This window comes from Homo sapiens, chromosome 9 (assembly GCF_000001405.40).
Source record: "Homo sapiens chromosome 9, GRCh38.p14 Primary Assembly".
NCBI classification, from domain to species: domain Eukaryota; kingdom Metazoa; phylum Chordata; class Mammalia; order Primates; family Hominidae; genus Homo; species Homo sapiens.
In genome coordinates this window covers 104,079,114-104,102,202 of record NC_000009.12, presented here as the reverse complement: position 1 = coordinate 104,102,202, position 23,089 = coordinate 104,079,114, and the positions used below count along the sequence as shown (strand labels likewise).

Genomic DNA, 23,089 nt, shown 5'->3' with positions numbered 1-23,089 from the left:
TGTTCAGACCTTATCTTTTCTTTTTTCCAATTCTTCTATTTCATGATTAAGTGCTTTTATTTTTTTATCATTCTCAGACAATTCTTCCTGAAGCTTTATAACTTTATCTTGCATTTCTTTTAATTCCTCAGCTGAGCGTACTTTGGTATCTTCAGCCAGCAAAAACTGATAAGCAATATATAAACGACTCAAATGTTCTATTTCTCTCATTACTTTTTGGTACTCCAAGTAGGACGATCTTTCCTGAAAGAGAAATCACAAAAAAAGAATAACTCAAAATTGTATTAAAAAAAAAATTCAATTATGCAAGATGAAACAAATTTCTCATTACATAATAGATTTTGTCCTGTATTAAACAATTATAGCATTTTAAATTGTAGGAAACTTTACGTAACATCAGAAGTCAGGACTTTTAGATAGCATTCTACCATCTCTAGTGAATCTTATTTGGCTATTTCTTCTAACACACACTTGGGTAGTTGAGCTTAACAAAGAAATATGGACATAAGGTTCATAAGCTTACACACCCACCATGTTACACTATTACATGGATTCTGTAGTAGTAGTATCAAGATGCCTACTCTAATATACTTTGAAGCACTACTACAAGCACTCGCTTACATCATTACTAAACACGACTCCCATAAGGACCTACTGGGACCAGACAAAGTAATAACTAAAATCCTTAATTTATACATAAAAAACAAATTCAGAATGATTAAATGATCTGTCCATGTTGTTAGATTTAGAAAGCAATTGTGGCAAAATGAAGTCTAGGACCTAAGTTTAAATTCCTGATCTAGTGTTTTCTACTAAATCATACATACAAAAAGGGTATCTTCAAGATTACAATTTTTCCAGTAAAATTTATACTACTATATGGATTCACAAGACAGCTCTGAGTAGTACCAAATTTCAATGAGCATTTAATAAATTCCTAAAAGGAGATAGCTTTAAAAACGTCGTTTGGCTGGGCACAGTGGCTCACTCCTGTAATCCCAGCACTTTGCGAGGCCGAGGCAGGTGGATCACTTGAGCCCAGGAGTTCAAGACCAGCCTGAGAAACAATGAGAAACCCTGTCTCTACAAAAAAATAAACTAGCAGGGTGTGGTGGCATGCACCTGTAGTCCCAGCTACTCAGAAGGCTAAGGTGGGAGGATCCCTTGAGACCGGGAGGTGGAGGCTGCAGTGAGCTGTGATGACACCACTGCACTCCAGCCTGGGCGACAGTGAGACTAGTCTCAAGAAAAAGAAAACGTAGCTCATAAATGCATTTTTTGATGACATATTGTGCCATGTCTTTTGACAGTCAGGAGCTGCAAAGATTACAGAGACAATCCAATCCTCTGTTTCAATACCTTTTGCTTACAAAATACCTTGATAGCAATAATTATAGTGATAGCCCCTGTTATCCTGGAAATTGTTCTCAATGAGGGTGTCTAAGAGTGCCTTATCTTTAAGAAATGTTGTTCCAGTCAATGCTAACTAACTAGGAAAATCCAGACTTGCTTAGCTTAAATAAAGTATTAAAATTCGGCATACCATTTTCTGAAACTATAAAAATTACTCTCCAATATCCTATGACTTAGCAGATAAGTGCATATCCTCTGTAAGCAGAACGCTGAGTTATGGAGTGCCAACTCTAATTCCTTATCTCATCGCAGGAAAAAAACCCCCAAGAAATAGTATCACTATGTGTATGATTTTGGATACATTGCTGACTTTGAAAGACATTCTAATAGATTATCCTCACATATACAGAATATACCTCTTTTAATTTTTGAATGGTTGGAGTAATCTCTTCTTCAAGTATCTGGAAAATAAAGAAAAATCAGTATTTTCGCATGTAAAGTATCATTAAAATTTATTTGAAAGAGAAGTAGCAGGGATGACTATGGAAAACTGAACCAAGGAAAAAAATTTTTCCCTCTTTACAGCAAAAACTCTACATGCAAAATTACATTCTTCTCCGAAAATATTTTATATGAATTAAATTACCGTCTTAATTTCTTTCAGCTTAGCCTCCTTTTTTTCTATAGTTTTCTGTGCAGCTATTTTTTTGTATTCATACATCCTGGTTCCAGCTGCTTCTTCTATCATGGATAAAATCTGGAATGACAATTTTATTAATGTTTAGTATCCAAGACAATGTGTCCAACTGGAATTTACATTAAATATATCATTTTTGCCTTGACCTCACTAAACATCTTACCAAAAGTTGGCCCAAATGAACCATATAGGTTAAATATAGTAATTTCACACAAACCTTTTCCTGTAGGCTTTTTCTGTAGGAATGAATTCTGACATGAAACACCAGCTAAGCAAGACTCCTTTATACAATCAAAATCAATTTTAATATTTGGGCATAGTGCCAAATATTACACAAATATACAACTGTCTTTACTAATCATTCCCAAATAATGTCTCCAAAAATTTTAATAGAATATTTAAAAATTGTCTGAAAGATTAAAGTAATATCTATACCAACTATTTTTAATGTCCATAAATAGTACTCTTACCTCTGGAGGTTTCATATTCAATACTTTTGTAATTCGGCCCTGAAAATAAAATAGCAAACTTACTAAGATAACAAATTACAGAAAATGTTTATCTGTACTGCCATTCATGTTTATCTAGACTGAAGCTGTTGTATCTCAATATACCAATCTTTGGGGGGGTCTTTCCTCTATAATTCTTCTATGATTCTAGAATTTTGGAACTTTGCTATTCACTTTCTCACCAGTGATACAAATTATGGAAGTTATGAAATGATACAAATGAAATAATTCATTAAATGATACAAAGTTAACAAGGATCATGTTTCTGAGACAGTTAACATTAAGTAGAAATATTCAAATTTAAAACAGGTAAATATAAAAAGAAATTTCAGCATAATTAAAAAACTTTTAACATTTCTTTGAATGATAACCCTCCAGGATAATTTCACAAAACAGATGACATACTTCTAGGCCTCAAACAAAATACAATATTTTACATCAATGCCAGAAAACCATTAAATTTATTCATTACCAAAAACAAATAAAGCAAAACACCTGCACACCCAGGTCTCAGAGAATTGTATTACTAGAATGTAGATTCATTTAAAGTAAAGTTTCAACTATGAAGGTGTGTAGTGGAAATATTTTTATTTTGGTCCCACTGAGATGCTCCCATCGACTTTACTATAATTCTCTCAAACGGCAGCTGGATGGGTCAAATGAAGTAATGTAAATGTAAGATAAAATCAGCCTTTACTCCTCATTTGTGTGAGTCTCTAAGAAAATTACTCAAGCTTTTATACTTGAAATATTAAGATGCATTAATCCAATAATTTAAAAGGATATATTATGGCTTTTTTTTTTTTACAGTTAACATGTATTGTTCTTTTAGTGACAAAACAAAAAGTCAACAAAAATTACTTCTAAACATTCTAGAGGAGTCAAAGGTCTATAATCCAGTAGAATATATCAGTGCAAGTAACTAAACCATATTTCTAAACAGATGGCCGGACACAGCACAATAGTAAATAAAAAGTATAAAATCCAAAACATAAAGTACTTCTATTTTAATTGCTTAAAAGTAAAAAATGTCGAAACTATTACGAAAGTGATATAAAGACCTCAAACGAAATACCTGCATGATGAGAAAGTGAGGGTTGTTAACATTAAGGCCAACAGAACAGAAGAGATCCTGTACTCTGGTGTTGTTGGCATTGACTCCATTGATTAAATATTTATTTCTACCACCAATAACCACCTATAAAAGAAAGCAATTTTTTAAATATTAATGTACATGCACACCTTGTGCTAGGATAAACTAAGTATATTAGCTTACGTTTATTTGTTCTGTCTGACTAGCAGTAAACAAAACCAATTCTGCATAAATAGTGGAACAAGTATGACATGGTCAAAAACGCTAACTTGAGTCAGGACAGCTAGTATCTAATGCAAGTACTTTTGGTAACTAGTTATGTAATTACACACAAGCCTCTTACCCTGGCCTGCACCAGACTAGGTCTCCGAGGTAACTTCTAGCTTTATGTTTCCAAGTATATGTAAAACACACTTTCCTAGTTACTTTCTTTCTGTAATTTTTCTAGAGGCTTTCTCTACTTTTCAACAGGAATAGATGTCAGACAAAGTAGCTTAGTATCAATTCTTGACAAGATTCAAAAAGCTATTAATAAAGACATGATTTATGACCATTTAAAAGAAAGGGTAATCATGGAGCTTCAGTATGGTTTCATTAAGTCATCCCAGACACCATACTCTACTATCACACTTAAATTGTCATTTATTGGGTATGATTGTCTCATCTACCAGATTGAAGTCCTTAAAGACAAGCTCTGTTTCTCATTCTTCTAACTGTACATCCCAGTACATTCAAGAACACCCAATATACATCAACTATTTAATAAATATTGAATAAATGTTAGTTCATTTCTTTTCCTGACAGGACTACTAGGTTGGTAGTTCATATATTAATGTATTTGAAGACCCTTCTCTGACAAAAATTTTATAATTTTGGTGAAGATACAAGTTTATGGCCTGAATGAGGACAGGAACAATTAGGTAGATTATTAGTAAGAGACTTAGTGACAGTTCCTAAAGGATAAATATTTGATGGATGCCTAATGACATGGAACAGGATTCTGTCCTAACGTGGCCTACGCTTCTTTTTTTTTTTTTTTTTTCAACCAGAGGCTTCCATTAAAATAGAGGAGAAAATCTGTAAGTGATAAATGATAAGATGGACAGTAAATAGGAGTTGACAACATTTTTAAAAACAAAATCTTGGGCCAGGCGCCGTGGCTCACACCTGTAATCCTAGCACTTTGGGAGGCCAAGGCGGGCAGATCATGAGGTCAGGAGATTGAGACCACCCTGGCCAACATAGCGAAATCCCGTCTCTACTAAAAATACAAAAAACAAAAAAAAATTAGCCGGGTGTGGTGGTGGGCACCTGTAGTCCCAGCTACTCAGGAGGCTGAGGCAGAAGAATCTCTTGAACCCGGGAGATGGAGACCAGCCTGGGTAACAGAGCGAGACTCCGTCTCAGGAAAAAAAAAAAAAAAAAAAAAAACCTTGACAAGCTGAAAACACTGCCTGACTATATTAATAACACACCTAAAAAAAAATTGAGTGGTTTCAAGTAAATCTAATATGAATCCACAATGTATTATGAACACCCCAATGCTCTACTGGGAAAAATAAAAGTAGAATATCTAAAATGAAAGAATAACTCCAACTAGACCAATTTTGGTACACCCAATCTAAGGTGCCATTAAAAGAAAGAAAGATAGATGAATGCAGGAGCAGGGAGGGAAACTGGAGCATACTTGGTATAATCAGGCAAGTGAAGGAACTAGGAACAAACATCAAGTGAAAGACCTGGCAAGATTTCACTTAGAACTAAAACACATATACTTGCACATCACTTAAACACTGAAGTAGGGAATAAGTTAGATTTGCTCTTGGTGCTCTCAAGAGGACTAGGATTAATGAATAAAATTTGAAGACAGCAGACTCTGACAAAACTTATAGCTGTTAACTTTCTAATAAGACCTGTCCAAAAACAGAATGGGTTATCTCAGAAGATTGAAAGATCTCAAGTACACAGGTGTTCAAGAACAACCAAAGAAGATTCAAATATGGTTTAAGATTTCAGCATAGCTGAGTGCTTATACTGGATGAACAACTTTTCAGCTGTCTTTCAATCCTCTTAGTGATAGAATGTGCATGATCAAGATTTTAATATAAGGAAGACATTAAGGAATCTAGTCAGAATTTAAGGCACCAATTTTGCTCATGAACTTTCTCTAGCACGTTTTGCAAAGGCATAGGGCCAAAAACCACATCAGACATAAAAGGTCTTAAGATACCCAAAGGTTTAATTGCCACTCACCTGCCTTGTTACTGTGATTTCATCATGAACCTCAAATCCTAAAGGACTTTGCTTTTTGTCAGAATTATCAAAAGTGATTGACACAGAGGCTTTGGTAATACCAGCCTGCCCATTTTTGTAAACTAAATCTTGTAAATTAGAAGCCCGAACCTAAAATAAAATATGAAAAGTGTAACAATTACAAAACTCCCTACCGTACAAAGCAGCACTAAAAATGGGTCCCTTGCTGTTGGAAAACCCACCAACGTAGTGTCCATTAAGTAGACAAGGTTAGGCAGCTGCATCCTCTGGCAAGAAAAACAAGGAAAATAGGCAACAACCTGCAATGGACACTTTTCTCTACAGAACCTTTTCAACCCTGAATTGAATTGTTTCCTATTCATTTTTTAATAAAAAGTTACTTTGCAAGATATAAGGAAATACTGTCCCAAAGATTTTCACTAGTCATTCAATCCATTAATAGGATTTGAAAAGGCATCATTACACAGGGTTGAAAATACTCTGGAATGAGACTGCTTTACAGTCAGAATGCCTGAGTTTTGAGGCACTGTTACTTCTAAACATCTCTAAGTTTCTATTTTCTCATCTAAAGGAGTAATATTACTTTCCTTAAAAGGTTGCAGTGAGGTGTAATTTACAAAAAGTATAAAAACACAAATGAAGAGAATATCGGGACGTCTCCAAAGTTCAGTGAGGATTCTCCTGCCAACTTAAATTCAAATAAATCAGAAAGTTTACACTTTACCTGAGACAGGTTGGAGATGCCCAGCAAAAAGCAGATGGAGTCCAATATGTTGGATTTCCCACTACCATTTAAGCCAGTGATAGCATTGAAGAGGGGGTCAAAACCATTGACTTCGGTCCTCTGAGCATAGGACTTGAATCCCTCTAGAATAATTGACTTAATATGCATTTTCGATACTGTCTTGGGTCAGCAAACCTCTGACAGGAATCAAACAGGCCACAAACCAGTTCTGTACGAAACAGAAATACCACCACCTAAGTGGAATGTAAACCTGGAATCATAATGAACACGAGGCAAAAACAGCAACGATAGGGTGATAGAAATAAAACAGCCACTTGACAAACTATCTTGTCTGATGTAAAGACATCGTTCATCTACTCAAAAATATACCAGAGTTAGCCACTATCTGGAAATTAAACCATTCAACTGGGAAGTCTTAACTATTTCTTCTACCCGTTTTTCCAGGCTTGCCTTCTACTTTTATCATACTCTACCTAAACAAAGACTATGGATTATTACATATCCCATTATCTTTGCCTATAATGTGCTTTTCTCTGATACTGACATAGCTTACTCTCTACTGCACTCACGTCTTTGCTCAAATGTCACCTTACTGGAGTCCTCCCTGACCTCCCTATGTCACCTCTCCACAATCCTTCACTCGGCTTTCTTTTTCCTTCATGGTACTTAAAGCTGATATTAGACGGTCATTACTTGTCTGTAAGTTCCCGCAGTGTCTTCACCTACGTCCGTCATTGCATCCCCGAATTGTGCTTGACTCCGGGAGGAGGGGAAGTCATTTAAGTATTTACTAGAGATGAGATGTATCTCATATTCTCCAACTTCTTGCTTTTACTCAGGCTTTTACCTCGCTTCTCCAGGCCTGTCTACACCTCTTCGCCCTACTCCAAGGTCGAACAGAAGCTAGCCTTTATTTCTAAGGATCACCTAAGGTCCCTCTGCCACTGGTCCCCCTCCCTACAGCCCCCGCGCCCCGCGCCCCGCCTCCCGCCTCCCGCCTCCCGCCAGGAAGTCTGGCCCGGCCCAACCGGCCGTGCTCACGCACACGCCTCACCGCTGCCTCAGGCCAGGGGCTTGACGCACCCCAAAAGCTCCTCCGGGTCACAAAGGCAGGGAACAGAACAACTCTCTAGCCGGGGCCGCTACAAAGCGAACTTCACCATAGCGGCTACAACACCTGCCACACCGCTCTCAACACCCGCGCCGGAACTATTTATTCCTTTGAATTTCGGCGCGAGCAAAGGACCCCACCTCCATTGCTTATTTCCTGTGCTGGTGCCTAGGAGCTGCCTGTCTTTAGGGTTCAATTTTTCCCCTACACTCGAAGGATTAAAGCCGCAGGGCAATAGAATGAGAGTCTCGATAATGGTAGCTCCGGGGACTCCCCGGCAGGGGCCTGGGCACTACAGGAGCAGATAGTGTATGTTCACACCGGCGTCCGGCACTCTATGGTCAGCCCCACACCTCGGCCCCGGGTCCTCGCGCTTCGCCAGCCCCGCCCCGCCTCGGTCCCTCTAGTTCGCGTTAGGCACACTGCAGACTCCGCCTTCTCCAGTCTGCGGTGCTGGCTGTGGCTTACTTTTCTCTCCTCAAAGCGACAGTTAGGAAGTGGAGAGGCATTCTATGAGTGTTCTCGTCGGTTCTGTTTTGGAAGCTTCAGAATCTTCTCGGGTTGGCTCAGATTGCTGCAAAATAAAAGCTGTACTTCTTGGGGCCAGAGAGGCACCGTCCTTCGGGGGACTCTGGCCCGCGTCCTGGCTCCGCCCCGTACTGGCCTCGGACCTCGGGGAGCGTTTTTATCTGAAGTTTCCACGTCGGAAAGGGATCGTAGTCTACCGAGAGCTGTTCCGAGCCCAGAGGAGAAATTGTGTGGTGCTAAATAGCTATTCATCTCCCTTATACCGGAAAGCGTTGTAATGATAAGCCGACCTAACCTGTTGGGGATTTTTTCTGGAAACCTTTTAAGACAGTTCATGTTATTGAGTTCTGAATATTAGGCTATATTGCAAGGGGCTTTTTAAAATCCACGTAGCAACCCTATGAAATCAGAAATTGCCCTCGTTTTACAAATGAGTTAAATGAGACCAAGTAAAAGGTTAAACAGCTTGTCTAGTAAGCTGGGATTTGTTCCCAGGCGGTCTAGCTCCAGATTGCATGCTTTTAAATACTAGGCTTCATGCATAGAATCTAGTATTATTAGCCGATCCTATTATTAGTATGTATTGTTCTTTAGGAAGAAAAAACGTGTCAGGATTGCTCACGTTTCCAAGCACGTTGATACTTAAGAGTTAGGAAGGGCTTAACTCCGAATGGGTATGGTGTTACCCTAAGTGAGGTTCAAAAAGATGGTGTGGGCAACAATGCTATTTTGGAATGGCTTGATCCTTTTGGGCTTCCATAACAAAATATCCTAGACTGGGTAGTTTATGAACCACAGAAGTTTATTCTTCACATTTCTGAAGGCTGGAATGTCACAGAATAAGGTGTGTCTAGGGAGGGGTGCTTTCTCTTTAGTGGATAGCACCTTCTGGCTCTGTCCTCGCATGGTGGAGAGGCAGAGGCCCTCGCTTGGGCCTATTTTATAAGGACCTTAATCCCATTCCTCACTTCCCAAGATGCCACTTGCTAAAACCGTCAGTTCGGGAGTTAGGATTTCAAAATGTGCATTTTGAGGGACACATTTAGACCATAGCGTAGGTCATGTTTTTAAAGTTGCTTTCTTGGCCCTGGAATGGCAATGCAGTCATCTGAATTGGTCTTAACCTACCAGGAATGGGCTTATATTTTGAAAATATTTCTCGATAAGGGAGTAAAATAAGTTGTATGGGTTTTTTGTTTAAGAAAGGATTCCTTTGTTTACTCTGGTATGCTTATCCACTTCTGTGATGTCAACCATGGGTAGTGACCTAACATTAATTTAATTCAACAGATATCTTTGTCTGCCTTGATTCCTGCATCCCCTGGGCTCCACAGCTATTCACTTGTATTGATTCTGTTAACTCTTACACATTAACTTTGAGCTGTGTCTCCTTCCTTTTATCATTTTGTGAGTAAAGAATTTTAATTTGCCAACAAATCCTAATGTGGACTTTGTCACGTTGTGAAATAAAGTGATTTTTTGGTATGGAAATATGTGTTAAGACAGACTGTTAGTCTTTGCACTTTAACAACTAGCTGATACACTTACGTCACATGGATGAAAACATACACAAGTGCACTGTTGTTGGATAAGGACTCCTGGGTGGTTAGAAGAATGTGCAGATCTAACTACTCCCATTAAGACCATTGATTAAAATGAAAAATGCTTATAAAGGTGGAGATCTCTCAGTTTTAGTCTTATTGCGTGCCAGAAGCACTAAGGAATTGCTGCTAAATATAAGACAAATGGACTTGAGGAAATCACTGATGACTAACTTGAAACTCTGCCTCCTGAGATCACACAGGTGAGTGGAAAAAACCAAGGCACAAAGCCAGTGAAGCCCCCTAATTTGGAGATGTGAGGGGTAGAAACAGAGAGTATAGGGTAGATGCAGTGTACAGAAAACACTGTTCTTGCTTCATCACCATGGATTAAAATCGTTTGAAAGCTTCAACGCTAGCGGGCAGTGTTTCAAGCAGAAATCTGGCAGCTAGTGGAGTCTGAGTCCTTATATGGAAGGCATCATCAGTACCAGCAAGGACACACATACAGCCACAAAGCAAGACCTAGGAGAAATATTTGGTGCTCTACTCTCCTAGGGAACTGGAAGGAACCTGCTCTCTCCTGGGTATACTTTTCTAATTTTAGAGTGCTAAAGAAGCTCTTCTCACAGGGACCCGAGTGAATCCTTTCTCCTTGGAACAAAGGACAAGAAAAAAAGAAAGGACTTTACCGCAGAAGTAAGGAAGACTCATTTTGTTGAGAGATTATTTTTAGGTTCAAGGAAATGAATTGATAATGACAGGAAGTTTATATTTTTACATTGGATTGACTAGCAGCACTTTTATTTTTTCAGAGAAGGAGTCTCACTCTGTCTCAGGCTGGAGGGCAGTGGCCTGGCAGCACTTTTTGAATACACTCGTGCACCACATAATATTTCAATGTCTGATTACATTATGTGACTGTGGTCCCTTAAGATTATAATGGATAATTCCTGTTGCTTAGTGATGTTGTAACATCGTAGTGCAACATACTACCCTTTCTGTTTAGAAACACAAACACAACATTGTGTTATAGTTACCTACATTATTCAGTACAGTAATATGCTATAAAAGTTTGTAGTCTAGAATCATAAGGCTATAATATGTAGGTTTGTGTTAAGTATACTTCATGATGTTTGCACAACAATGAAATTGCCTAATGAGGCGTTTCTCAGAACGTATCTCGTCGTTAGGCAACGCATGACTGTATTTTATTTCTAACGCCATATTATTTGAACTGTGGGTTCACCGAATATAACCTGTTTGACAAACTTGCAAAGAAACACAGCTAAGTATAATTTAAAATGAGGAATAGAAAAGGAGGTTATTATATTCATTCACCCAGTGGGACTGGTTAGACCCATTCATTTTAATGTCAGTGACAATATTGTTTTCTAAAATACATGTTCTGTTTGGTTCTTTGTGAATTCTGCCTCTTCTTTCATTATGATTTCTATTATTTTGTCCTTTTAATCAAGTTATATGTCTTTATTTTATCTTCTTTTCTGTTAGTTCTGTTATTTTTAGCTTTTCAGTTCCTAACTCTTGTTTACGACCTCCACTGACTCTTACTCAGTGATTTATTTCCTCATGTGGTGCTCTTCTTCAGTGGGATGGTTTTGTTTATGGGACTCTCTTACACCCTTAGTTGCAAAAGAGTCCCTTTAGACAATTATGCATTTGCTTCTGCCAGCATACCGTAGCTCTTAAAGATCTGAAGCATTTTCAAATGATAATTTCTCAGTTTGTGGCTCCTGAATTATGCAAATATTGTATATTTAGATCTGTTGCAGGGCTGCAGTTTTGATTTCTCATAGGTACCTTATGTTTTTTTTTTCCCACCCTATCCAAAGCCCCAAAGAACAAACTTCTTTATCGCTTCCCCAAACTAGTAGATTGCCTTTTTCCAGTTCCGGTAGCTGGCTATTCCTAAGGCTCCAGGTTTTACATAAGGGCTTAGTTCCAGCTCACCTGCCTCATCAAAGCTCAGCCTTGTGCTTGGACATTAAAACTCAACTACTGGCTCCTGAGGCATATAGCCAAGTATAAAATTTTGGAGGGCTACCGCAGTATCTGTTCTGCTTTCTGCTCTTCAATTTTTAAAATTTATTTCAGGCACTGAGAATTTCCTTTTTGCTGTTTTTTGTTTTTACGGTTGTATATGGTTTATAGAACAATAATTATATTTTATCCATTATTTCTATGAGTTTATAAAGGAAAGCTCAGTCGACCATGTTGGAGGAGGTCTTCTCATTTACTTTTCGTGAAGAACATCAGTGATCTTTGTTTTGCTCCTCCTGAGCCTTCCTTACAGAGCTCACATTCTCTATTCAAAGTCACTTTTCCTAAAAACTAGTAATTACTTCTCTAAAGAAGTCTGGTACTAGGTCTTAAAAAAGTATTTTCAGCCAGGCACGGTGGCTCATGCCTGTAATCCCAGCACTTTGGGAGGCCAAGGTGGGCAGATCAGGAGGTCAGGAGATGGAGAATATCCTGGTTCCAACATGGCGAAACCCCGTCTACTAAAATACAAAAATTAGCTGGGTGTGGTGATGCATGCCTGTAATCCCAGCTACTCAGAAGGCTGAGGCACGAGAATCGCTTGAACCCAGGAGGCGGACACAAGTTGTTGTGAGCCTAGATCGCGCCACTGCACTCCAGCCTGGTGACAGAGCTTTTTCAAAAAAAAAATTTTCATGTACTACTCATGAAGTAAGTTCTATTCTTACTTGTTTTATATTCGTTTCTTTCTGTTTTTCCAGCTATCCTTGGCTTTTATCACTTGCATGCTGGTTAATAGCCAGAGCTACCTAGCTCACCTCTCATCTGCTTTGTCATACCCCTTCTTTTATGGGGATAATTATTGACTTCTCTTCCTCAAATATTATTCTCATTTCATAGTTCTCCTTGGCATGGTGGTCCATTGTTACTCTTTATTTCAAATCCACACACATCTGCCAGATTCTCCTCCAACTGGTTCCTTTTTATTACCAAACTCAATTCTTACTAGATTCAAAGAGAGTCTTCACTCTCAGATTTTTTGTTTTACAAGATTTGCTTCTGCAGTTAACATCTCCACTACCTCTTACACCACTCTGCAGTCCTCTACAGTCAACAAATATATCCTAACTTAATCTTCTACTTCAACAAGACTCTGCCCTCTCTAAAGTTTTACTATATATATGTATATGTTTCTATATAAAAATGGTACCTCTTCCCTCTATATAAACCTTTGGTGAAAATTACACACAAAGTTAATTCTAACCTCTTTAAGGTGGCCTGGCTGACCTTTCATTGTCTGTTCCCAACCTACTTTCTCAGATTCATCTGCTACTTTCTTCCTTAGATTACCATGTCTTTTTTTTTTTTTTAACTGTTGTGAACTTATGCAACAACCAATGACAAAAGAAAGTGCTCCCTAACTTTGTTGGTGGATAGATGTATCAGTGGATTCAATAGGCATTTATAGAATGCCTGCATTGTGCCAAGAATTGTGTTATGTGCTGGGATACAAAGATGAATAAGATGTCTGCCTGTCTCCAAGGAATCCATAGTTGAGTGGAGAAGACTTGTATAAAGACATTAACCAGGAGAAATGAAGAGTGAAAGGCAGTCATCTAAATAGAGTAGATTGCACAGTCAATGGCACAGAAGATAAATGTAATGTATGATGCAAGAAGTAGCAAGATTTAGTATGAGATCCACAGAAGGCAGGTTATGGAACATTTTATGCACCATCTTTTCGTCATTCCTGAAGCATTAGTGTTCACTTCTCCATCTTCCTTTGCACATGGTGAACTTGAAATGCCCTTTGACTCTTCACTTCTCCCCCTTGTGTATTTCTATGTGTATTTAAACCCCAAATCTGATCCATTTCTCGAGTTACTTGCAACCTCTTCCATAATCCCTTAACCCTTTATCCACACTTTTCTTCTGACCTCCATTCTCATTGTGACATACCTTTGTGATACATATTGGTGCTTGTCACATAGTAGATATTTAATAAATATTGGTTCAATATGAATAAGTTCATGGGGTTCATTTGCTGCTCACTCATTAAGGTGCCAGAAAAGAATAGTTTAAAAAAGAAAAAAATACTTGAAAATATACAATATATTTCACAAAATAGTATTTTAAGGTTCAGTGAGTTCATTGTAGTGATCATTTCTCAATGATCTAATATTGAAAACTTAAAAAAAAATCCCTATTATCAACATATTCTATTTGTGTAATATCATCAGTGACCACTGTGATAGTAGGCTGAGGAATGTACCATGAAATATTTATGCCAGCTGTATGCTTCAGAGGGCTCTCGGCACCATATTCTTTACCTCTGGTTGCAATTTTTTTTTTGCCTGTAAAGTAAAAACAAGCTTCTATGCTTTATGAACGGCTGCAGTTTTGGGTTGAAAGACTCTAATTCAGATACCACTTTCTTAGTTGCTGTCGAGGTATAATTACCAACCCTCCTTTGTTTTATGAATTATACAGACTCCTGTTACATGTATTTATTTATATGTTTGTCACCCACTGTGAGCACTTTGATGTCAGTGGTCTTGCCTTGTAAGTGTCTATAAACCCAGCATCCAGTTCAATTTTGGAGACAGAGTTGTGCTCCATAAGTGTTAATTGAAGGGATGAGCGACTACATGAACATACAAAGATTATAAAGATGGTCATTCTCTCCAAACCAGAAACTATTGTTTTCCGGATTTTTCAGATGAAAGTTTGTTGTTGTTTTGTTGTTATTTTTACCCATATTTAAGTTCCTAGGTGATTACATGCATACTCCATCAAACATTAGTGTGCATAGAAACTCAGGAATTACCTTGATCACTATCTCTCTTCCCTTTCCCATGCTGGCCTTATCTTCAAATATTGACTTCCATTCCCACCTCTATCCCATTACAGGTAGGTGGGAAATGGGGAATTCATAGACTTCTGTGCATTCTATTTTGGTCTCCCTACTCCCTATAGTCCATTCTCTCCAAACTCCACCCCCACTCATAAGAGTGTGGTTTTGGTTCGTCTTTGGTTCCTGAGGGTCTTCAGACCATGATAATGTGTGGCATCGATACATTTCTGAGAATTAGAGGATGTGTTTTTAAATAACAGCATTTGTAGGAAATCCACAGTGGAGTTCAGGTGAGGCTTTAGCAATCCAAATCATGTTCTCTTTATGTCCCTTGTCATTAGATGATGAAGATCATGTCTCCAAGTCTTTTCTGCCGTTGCCAGTATTCTCTCCCAATCTCCTGTGGGCAACTTCTTCGGGAAAACACTCATGCAATTTCATAAGGACAAGCGAAAATGTAAGGCATGGAATGGTCTAGGTACATACGTATTAAAAACATCTTTCTGTCCTTATGCTAATAAAAGAAAGATATTTTTAAAATAAACCAGTTTACATTAATGTCACTATGTTAAAATATAAAGCAAAGCAGTTCATTTCTTTGCTGCTACATGTCTAAAATATTTCTATTGCAACTGGGAACCATTGTTCTACATTTGTGTAAATGAGTATCCATTCAGATGACTTTACAAAAACAAAAGTTGTTTGTGCCTGAAAGTTTAATCCCTCACGTTTTAAGAGAAAGAAAACGCTTGCAATTTTTAAACAACAGTTTTCCCCATTGTTGCCTTTCAAGGATTTAAATAATCTTTTATTTCAGACTTAGCTTGAATTATTTAAAATGATTATTAGAAAGTAATTTTATTGCTTAGAATATTGATTTATACTTGTGCTGTACTTAGTTCCATACACATTTCCTAAGTTACTTCATGTAATACATGTAATTTCCTTTTCATAGATGAAGAAGCTGGATCTTGGAACTAGGCTTTGATCACAGAGCGGAGCTGAGATGAAAGTCCATCCACTCATTCAACAAATAATTGAGTACTTACAAAAATTTCTGCTGTATGGAGCTTATATAGTAGTGAATATCAATTCTTATTTTATGGATTATAAAACAGAACTTTTTGCAACAATTTTACACTACCCTAGGGGTACCTATGAGTCTTCATGCCTCAAGTAATTGTCCTGTCCATGTGACTATGGAAGCCCTGAAATCTTTGAAACCCCAGATGACCCATTTCACCAGACGCTTGGACATTCTCCGTCGAGTTTGGATTTATAGTGGGTACCCAGATTTAGGTCAAGGACATAAAATCTGAACCACTTTAGGCACTGCTCATAAGGAGTAAATTCCTAGTGAAAAAGCAATGTCCCTCAGGAATGATTGCTATAGCAGGCTAAAAGGTAGATTTATAAATGTTTATAAAAAGCAGATTGGATTTAGCAGAGGTAGCAGTGATGACCAGGAGCAATAGGAGGAAATGTTCTTAATAGTGCTGTTTGGTGGCATCTTCTTTTTATACAAAGAAGTCTTGCAAGCATTTCTACTTGAATGACTAATTTGGAGTAATTTTTAGTTTCTGTATTTTTATTAGTTAATAGGATCTAGGAATATAATAACCTGGTGAGAATTTCTTCGTGAATGGCAATCAAATTTGTCTTATTCATGAAACTCATAAATAAGCTATAATCCAGCATTTTATAACTAGGGAAAATAAAACTGGGGTCCTGCTGTTTAAGAGGCTAAGGCAATTTAACAGAACACTGGGGGATTTATAGTAGATTTATGATGAAGATACATTCTAACTGGAAGCTTAATTGTGATTTAAATTATAGGTCAAGCTGAGCAATGTGTTTTCTTTTTAGGGGGAAATCTTTAGAGAGTTAGAGTGTGCTTGTTTAAAGAGGAAACAGACCAAATGAGAAAACAGATTGCATTTTCTGTTTTTCTTTTAAAATTTCAAGCTGCTTTAAGTCAAATTGCCCCTGAGTTCCTGATGATGGCTGTGGTGAAATTGCCTTGTTTTACTTTCTTGCCTTCTTTTCCAGAGCAGTTATTTTACCTGAAAATAACAAAAAGATATAGGCAGCATATCAGCCAGAAAACTAATATGGAAACCAGAGATAAAGTATACTCAACCTGCCTAGAATTGTGACATCCTATAATTTTAGGCTGAGTTGTATAAAATTAGCAAGTAATATGGATGAAAGGGCCTTTGAAAAATTTTTGCCACTCATTTTGCAAATGGGAAAATTGAGGCTTCTAGTGGTTTTCCTAAATTTTTTATCTCAAGTACTTTAAGGTCTCATGAGGAAATAAAATTTATGTACAAATAATTTTAATTAAAAGTATAAAAAGTTGTTTCCCTGAAAAATAAAACTTAAAACAGATAACAAAAGGTTGATTCTGTAAGGAGGATTTCTATTGGGAAAAGGACAGTTAGATTTGACAGCCCAGATGCTTACTCTCTAACATTTCCCTACCCCTTGGCAGAATCCTTCAATAATTAACACCAGGACAACCACATAGACTTCAGCCATGGGTGTGTCAGGGGCATTTGAACCAGAGCAACTCCATCTTGAATAGGGTCTGGGCAAAGTGAGGCTGAGACCCACTGGGCTGCATTCCCAGGAGGTTAGGCATTCTTAGTTACAGGATGAGATAGGAGGTTGGCACAAGATACAGGTCACAAAGACCTTACTGATAAAATAATATGGTACAGAAGCTGGCCAAAACCCACCAAAACCAAGATGGTGACGAAAGTAACCTCTGGTAGTCTTCACTGCTCATTATGTGCTAATTATAATGCATTAGCATGCTAAAAGACACTCCTACCAGTGCCATGACAGTTTACAAATGCCATAGCAATGTCAGGAAGTTATACTATATGGTCTAAAAAGAGGAGGAACTCTCAGTTCTGGGAATTGCCCACCTCTTTCCTGGAAAACTCAGGAATAATACACCCCTTGTTTAGCATATAATCAAATAACTATAAGTATAATCAGTCAAGCAGCCTATGCCACTGCTCTGTCTATGGAGTAGCCATTCTTCTATTCCTTTACTTTCCTAATAAACTTGCTTTCACTTTACTCTGTGGACTCACCCCAAATTCTTTCTTGCATGAGGTCCAAGAACCCTCACTTAAAGTCTTGATCAGGACCCTTTTCTGGTAACATCTTCCTGGTGACCACAATGAGATTAAACTAAGGAGACTCCCTACCCAAAAGAAATAGATTAGATCACCAATTGTATGACTTTGGGTAAGTGATAGGAACCATTTTACCTGGTTAAAGGATGGAATTGGGTTAGAGGCCCAACTTAGGAGAGTTAGAGCCTCTCCTAAGACAGAGAGCTTAAAGGCCCCTCTTAATAAAAGGCAAGGACGCTTGATGGAACTTAGGTTCAAGGCCCAAACTAGGAAGGTTAGAGTCCTTCCTAAGATTAAGGGGGTTAGAAGCTCCTCTCAGTAAAGTCCTTCTTGGTTAAAAATGGATTTCACATTATGGGATATTAACCATTATTCTCTTTGTATTAATCTGCCTTGCACTGTTTGCTGATGTCTGTGGGTGACAGGATTAGGTGTATATAGGATCACTGGATATGGGGAGCATTTTCTCCCTAAAGGGGAAATTTGAGAGCTGATGAGACAATTGGCCACCTGAACTTTAGATTCAGTGTTGCTGCAATGGATCGGTCTTGTCTGGCCTCCCTGAGCTCCTCATTTTCCTCACCCTGCTGCAGGCAATGCTTTTCTCCCTTTCTTTCTTTCCTTTCTCTTTTCTATCTTTTCTGTTACTCAGGGCAACTGTCTACGGTTTCAGTTTGCCCAGAAACCACATGTGGAAACTCCTGGTCAGAAGATCATTCCACACCAATTTGAGTGGATCAAAGATGAAAAGGCCCAACTAGAATCATGTTTGAGCCTTCCCAGTTTGATACTGGGTGCTAAGCAGAGTGGCTAATGTCTATGTTTTGTCACATTTATTTTGCTCTGGCTGGTTTGGAAGATGTTAATTGGGTTACCCCATGCAATCTCTTGGGTGACATCTTGCAAAATTGAGAGGCTTTTGCCTATGGTTTCATGAAATGGAAAAAGGTGATTTTCCTTTGTGTTGTGGTTTGGCCCCTAGGGCTATGGTGCCACAAGACAGGTCACTAGGGCTGCTCAGGGAAAGGGAACCCAGAAGCCTGGCATGCCAGCAAAAGGGTAAGAATTTCTTACCATTCAGACTTCTGGCCTCTCTGTGCAAACGAGTTATAGGAATGGTAAACATCCCTCTTTATTCCTGTGTAAAGTTTTAATTAATAGGAAAAAGAATTTTCCCATTAAGTTAGTCTTAAGCTGTAGTGAATTTGCTGTACTTTGTGCTATAAATTTGTCTTTCCAGATTGTTCTGTCAGAAGGAGGGTTACCTTAGGATAGAATACAGGCTTAAGCCCCCATTTGGTGGTTAATACTGAGTATCAAATTGATTGGATTGAAGGATGCAAAGTATTGTTCCTGGGTGTGTCTGTGAGGGTGCTGCCAAAGGAGATTAACATTTGAGTTGGTGGACTGGGAGAGGCTGACCCACCCTCAATCTGGATGGGTACCATCTATTCAGCTGCCAGCTTGGCTAGGATAAAAGCAGGCAGAGAAATGTGGAAAGACTAAACTGGCTGAGTCTTCTGGCCTCCATGTTTCTCCCATGCTGGATGCTTCCTGGCCTTGAACATCAGACTCCAAGTTCTTTAGTTTAGGATTCTTGGACTTAAACCAATGATTTGCCAGTGGCTCTTGGGTCTTCAGCTACAGACTGAAGGCTGCACTATTAGCTTCCCTACTTTTCAGGTTTTAGGACTGGGACTGGCTTCCTGGCCTCTCAGCTTGCAGATGGCCTATTGTGGGACTTCACCTTGTAATCATGTGAGACAATTCTCCTAATAAATTTCCCATTCATTTATTCATCTATCTGCTAGTTCTGTCCCTTCAGAGAACCCTGACTAATACACCCTATAAGACTGCTGTTCAAGACAGCCCATCAAACTGGTCACTTACAAACTTTGCTTCAGATCCCTGAAACAAAACAAAACAAAACAAAAACAAAACTGAAGTTCCCCTCTTGTCTTGTTTTATGTTCTTGGGAGCTTGACCTTATAACCATGTGGCAGTACTTCCTCTTTGTCTCTGCCATTCAGAGAACAGGAACTTTGGGGTTCATATCATAGTTAGCCCTAAAAATTATATTGAGCAGTTAAAAGGCTTTGCAAGCTCAAAATTGGCTGCTCTAGACTCCTTCTGGGAAGGGCAATGGAGACTGCCCAGTGCCGTAGAACAACTTCTGACTTCCTTTCTTGAATTTTCCTTTTTCTGAGTACCTGGGAGGTTACCTTTGGTAAAGTTCAAAAGCTACAAGTATTTGCTGTTTTGCCTGGCTAGAGTCTGATAATGAGATTTTTTTTTTTTAAAAGAATGCTATGGTTAAAAGTCAGCTTAATTAAAAGTGGATATTCAAGCTCTAACAGCCTGGGACTCCTTGGGAAAAACAGGAGGCACTACAGACCCTGTTTGAGGAAAAACCTCTGCTTTCTTCATGAAAACCCAGAAATTGAAATCAGATAGATCCCTCTCAAAATCTAAGGCTCTCCTCTGTTTTGCACTGTGATGTCTGACAGTATTGACTTTTAGGGGTATCAGAAATTACTTTGCATTATGAGAGAGCTTTGGTGTGTAATAACTAGGTAGGAAATATACTTTTGGGGATGGCTAATGGCAGTTATAGGGAGATACTTGGCATTTTGCATGTTTGGATTAGAGAATCATGTTCTTGGCCACCTAGAAAGTATGAAAATGTCCCCATTCCCCACTGAGAGATGAGACTCCTATGGGAGATGGGTTGATTCCCTCTTTTTTAAAATTTAACTTTAAGTTCTGGGATACATGTGCAGGATGTGCAGGTTTGTTACATAGGTAAGCATATGCCATGGAGGTTTGCTGCACCTATCAACCTATCATCTAGGTATTAAACCCCACATGCATTAGCTATTTATCCTGATGCCCTCCCCGACAGGCCCCAGTGTGTGTTGTTCCCCTCCCTGTATTCATGTGTTCTCATTGTTCAGCTCCCACTTATAAGTGAGAACATGTGGTGGTTGGTTTTCTGTTCCTGTGTTAGTTTGCTGAGGATAATGGCTTCCAGCTTCAGCCATGTCCCTGCAAAGGACATTATCTCATTCCTGATTCCCTCTTTTCTTTGGGGATCCAGGATCTAATATAAAAATGAGACCCTTAATTTTGGGGCTCTGCTTTGCCTTCCAGCTGTGCCTGCTTATTAGGCCCTGGAAACTGCATGCTTTCCCAGTCCTGTTCCTCCAAGGGCTCCACCCTAAAGCCAGCAATCCAATTAAGAAACTTAATGGATTGTAAGCAAATGGAAAATCTTCCAAGTACTGGATTTTCTGTCTGTCTGCATATTTACATGTGTTGTGTGTGTGGTGTTTATATATAAAAGAGCTCTGATTAATTGGTTTAAAGATAATAGGCAATTAAATCAAATATTATCAGAAAAATAAAAACAAATGCCTTTTACTTCACGTGACTTTAATAATCTTTAGGAATTAGAGACAGTTTTAAAGATTATTGGTAAAATAAAGACATTTGGTCTAAATTGCGCCAGTCAGATTTAGGTTTGCCAAATGCTTTAATATCATAAAGTGCTTTTTTAACTTGATAATTGTTCAACTTACCTGCTTTGGAGCCATTAGATTCCAGGTAAGGCATGGGAACATGTGGAGTTAGCCATGCCCCCGGCTATGCTGAAAAAGGACCTTATCTGGACTTATGTCTAGTGTCTTAGGCTCCACACCTGATAGATAATTAAAATCCTTACTTACCAGATTTTTCACCAAAAATAAAAGTTGCTCAGTTAGCATTGTAACGTTTAATTGAGTCTACTGAATAAGCAGTTTTACATACAAGGTGTGTAAGGACAGTGACGTGTTTTTGGTAAAAAATTATAAGAAGGCATGGGAATACGGATTTTTTTGGCCTAGTTTAGAGGCTTAAAAACTTTTTTCAAGCTAGATAGAAAAAAGCTGAAGGTTTAAACAAGTTGTGGAAGGTTTGTGAACAATTAATCTTATAAAAGAAATTCTGTGTGTGAACATATTAGCTAAAATTAAAGGAGGTATTATTCAGTTTTTTTCATAAATTGAACATTGGAATAAAAGCACAACAGGGTTTTCTTAGAGCAGTGATCTACTCTTTAAGAAAAAATTGTAAAGGGTTATAAAAGGTTTATGAGAATCTTACCTTATGATCTAACTGATTAAGATTGGATAGATTAGTCTATAAGGTTTTTTTTTTAAGAATTAGGTTTGGCATCAATACTGCATTAATGCAAAGGTGAAATTTGGCTTTCTCTGTTGAACAAGGTTTTCATGTTATATTAAAAAATACGAAAATGTTTTTGTTTGCCTTTTAAATAAACTATAAGAAAAAGAAGGGAAAGGAAAGAGTCAGATTGTTTGGAAAGCTAAGTCTTCCCTCTATTAAGAAGTAAAAGATGTATTTGTGTAAATATGTTTTAGGTATGTGTTCCAAAATTATGGGAAACTCCTATAATTCTGATATGATTTAGTGGATGTTATTAATAGTCATAATTATTATGTAAAATTGTTGTATGCCACAGAAGTAACCAAAATTTTCTTGTCAATTGTGGCTTTAATAGTGGCTGTTCTAAGACTTTTTGTCAACCATGGACAATTGCTGTCTTATTTTGATCCCCTTCAAAAGGTGGTTTATAATCAGCTATAAGACTTTGACAGGTGCTCTTGAATGCAGGTTTCTGATAACTTTGGAGACTGTGACATTATAATAGAGGAAAAACTTTCAGAACTCTCATGGAGGGCTGAACTGTTCATGAATATCAAGCAGAACAGGCGTTAATTGCATGGACTGAACTAATAGAAGCCTAAAGTAATCTTTTTTGGCTTTTGGCTTAAAACATTGCTGATCCTTTGTTTTGTTTCTCAGAGCCAAGAAACTTTTCTTTTGAGCTATTTACAACTTTTAAGAATTGAGTAAAGTATTGATATGGTTTGGCTGTGTCCCCACCCAAATCTCATCTTGAATTGTAGCTCCCATAATCCCCATGTGTCATGGGAGGGACCCATTGGGAGGCAATTGAATCACGGGGATGGGTTTTTCCCGTGCTGTTCTCATGATAGTAAGTCTCATGAGACCTGATGGTTTTATAAAGGGCAGTTCCCCTGCACATGCTCTCTTGCCTGGCACCATGTAAGACATGCCTTTGCTCCTCCTTCACCTTCTGCCATGATTGTGAGGCCTCCCCAGCCATGTGGGAAGGGGACTGTAAGTCCATTAAACCTCTTTTTCTTTAT

General features: G+C 38.2%; 1 protein-coding gene and 1 long non-coding RNA gene across 23 annotated transcripts in view, besides 3 other annotated features; one reads left to right on the top strand and one right to left on the bottom strand.

Annotated features, from left to right (window-relative positions):
* The window catches only part of SMC2 (structural maintenance of chromosomes 2), a 53,157-nt gene extending 39,217 nt beyond the window's left edge, over positions 1-13,940 (bottom strand). For 3 of the 22 annotated variants that reach the window (NM_006444.3, XM_011518153.2, XM_024447383.2), the window contains exons 1-8: positions 7,726-7,894; positions 6,651-6,879; positions 5,906-6,055; positions 3,635-3,757; positions 2,521-2,559; positions 2,000-2,110; positions 1,770-1,814; positions 10-243 (exon numbers count right to left, since the gene is read on the bottom strand). In NM_006444.3, coding sequence (NP_006435.2) covers positions 10-243; positions 1,770-1,814; positions 2,000-2,110; positions 2,521-2,559; positions 3,635-3,757; positions 5,906-6,055; positions 6,651-6,818 — 870 coding nt within the window. In that variant the 5' untranslated portion in view covers positions 6,819-6,879; positions 7,726-7,894. Of the gene's footprint in view, positions 1-9; positions 244-1,769; positions 1,815-1,999; positions 2,111-2,520; positions 2,560-3,634; positions 3,758-5,905; positions 6,056-6,650; positions 6,905-7,364; positions 7,577-7,716; positions 7,895-8,250 lie in introns of those variants that run through there. The other 19 variants (NM_001042551.2, XM_047422648.1, XM_011518150.3 and 16 more) reach the window with 17 other exon arrangements.
* Positions 7,274-7,941: an enhancer, noted in NCBI's record as "NANOG-H3K27ac-H3K4me1 hESC enhancer chr9:106856543-106857210 (GRCh37/hg19 assembly coordinates)". NCBI's record gives its function as "activates a minimal SCP1, AML or CMV promoter by ChIP-STARR-seq in primed H9 embryonic stem cells {active_cell/tissue: H9 hESC(primed)}" and the evidence as "EXISTENCE:reporter gene assay evidence [ECO:0000049][PMID:30033119]".
* Positions 7,942-8,611: an enhancer, noted in NCBI's record as "NANOG-H3K27ac-H3K4me1 hESC enhancer chr9:106855873-106856542 (GRCh37/hg19 assembly coordinates)". NCBI's record gives its function as "activates a minimal SCP1, AML or CMV promoter by ChIP-STARR-seq in primed H9 embryonic stem cells {active_cell/tissue: H9 hESC(primed)}" and the evidence as "EXISTENCE:reporter gene assay evidence [ECO:0000049][PMID:30033119]".
* Positions 8,160-8,479: an enhancer, noted in NCBI's record as "active region_28728". NCBI's record gives its function as "activates an Ori minimal core promoter by ATAC-STARR-seq in GM12878 lymphoblastoid cells {active_cell/tissue: GM12878}" and the evidence as "EXISTENCE:reporter gene assay evidence [ECO:0000049][PMID:35858748]".
* Positions 9,729-22,179, top strand: SMC2-DT (SMC2 divergent transcript). Its single transcript, NR_121580.1, has 3 exons — positions 9,729-10,114; positions 15,048-15,163; positions 15,662-22,179. It is a non-coding gene; the product is annotated as an SMC2 divergent transcript (long non-coding RNA).
* The last annotated feature ends 910 nt before the right edge of the window (positions 22,180-23,089 follow it).